This window comes from Homo sapiens, chromosome 20 (genome assembly GCF_000001405.40).
Source record: "Homo sapiens chromosome 20, GRCh38.p14 Primary Assembly".
Classification (NCBI taxonomy): domain Eukaryota; kingdom Metazoa; phylum Chordata; class Mammalia; order Primates; family Hominidae; genus Homo; species Homo sapiens.
Genome location: NC_000020.11, coordinates 12,966,233 through 12,967,786, shown reverse-complemented (window position 1 = coordinate 12,967,786; position 1,554 = coordinate 12,966,233). Strand labels below are relative to the sequence as shown.

Here is a 1,554-nt window from a genome sequence, read left to right as displayed (position 1 = left end):
ACCCCCAGGAATGTGGCAGGTTAAGTTCATCCAGAGAGGTATAGAGTAGCCCCAGATTACTGGGGCTGCAGCCTGTTTCTTGGGCTTCTGCATAGACTCTAAGGAAGGAAGACTCTGCAGGTGGCCACTTTTAATATGGCGATGGGCAATGGTGCTCCTACAGTGGCCAAAGACTGATGTAATGGTGAGACGCATGGTCAGACATGTGTCTGATATCCCTTTCAAGACCTATTTCGCATTTGGGATCCTGGGAGGAGAAAATGTCACAGTGATAAAGGCATAAGACGAGAGGGCTTGACACTGAATGTCCTCAAGCTATCCTTAGTTCACATATGACATGAATGGGATCCAGATATACCCACATGTTCTTAAAGAGGGGAAATAGAAATAATGGTGAGAATGGTCAAGGATGTTGCAGAAAGGTTATCATGGTGGGGAAAGAAGCACCATCTTGGAATCATCTGGGTTAGGATTAGGAACTTGTACTGAGAGAGGTTCACAGCATCATTCGGAGCTAATGTATTGATGGGGGCCCAGTCAAGAGAAAGAACTGGGTTCTGTTCAGCTGTGCATTACCTGAGTGAAAGCTACCAGCAGCTGGTGAAAGCAGGGTGTGCTTGACTCTTGTCCTAGGACCAGCATGAACTCTGATGCAGCTCTGAGATGCTCCTCCCCCGTTCCCTGGCCATGAGATGCTTGTGCCCCACACCTTCCATGTCCAAATGCCCAGATGCTCTCCTGCTGAGGGCAGAGAAGGGAGAGAGTGGCACAGTCTGACAGAGTGGGTGTTTTACATAATGAATAGTTTATGCATGATTAAGATATTAAATCAGACCTAGGTTACTAGACTGGATTATGTCAATTACTCCCACTCTAAGATATAGTAACAGAGATGGCAGGGGCGTGGTGGTTTTGCTGTGCTGATGATGTTCTATTTCTTGCTCTGAGAGCTGACTCCCTGTCTTTATTTTGTGAAAAATCATGGAGATGTATATTTAAGACATTTGCACAGTCCTTTAAATATGTTAGGCTTCAACCAAAAGGTTTGAGAATTCTAATGCCTCTGAACCTACTTGTACATTCACAAGGACATACACATACAACCCAGCAGATGGCACTTATGAGAAGCCAAAAGTCCATTTTAGAGAAATAAAGATGCTGTCTTTTCTCCACACATTTGAGTGCAATGTGAGTAAATGTGTGACTTTACTTCCTGAGCTTTTGCTAAAGAAAGTGGGTCAAAAATCTGTGAACCTAGAAGACTCTCCAAATGCAGTGGCAATGATGCCATAAGGAAGAGTTCAGGCTCATTTTATATTTAATACTCTCCAAGTAGTAAGTGCTCTAGAATCAACTTCAGATGACAGAAATTAGAGATTTAGTCATTATTGTATCTGTATATTATAACTACCAGTGTGTCAGAAATTGAAACACAACTTTATATTTTATCATCATTTTTATATATTTTTAGATATAGCACATAGTTTCAAATATTCTTGGAGGCCTTAAATTAACTTTAGCTAAAATCTTCCCTGAACTGGCAGTAGTCTTATA

At 41.9% G+C, this 1,554-nt stretch overlaps 1 annotated feature.

Annotated features, from left to right (window-relative positions):
• Nucleotides 972–1,266: a silencer, noted in NCBI's record as "tiled region #3567; HepG2 Repressive DNase matched - State 12:CtcfO". NCBI's record gives its function as "represses a minimal TATA promoter and a strong SV40 promoter by Sharpr-MPRA in HepG2 cells {active_cell/tissue: HepG2}" and the evidence as "EXISTENCE:reporter gene assay evidence [ECO:0000049][PMID:27701403]".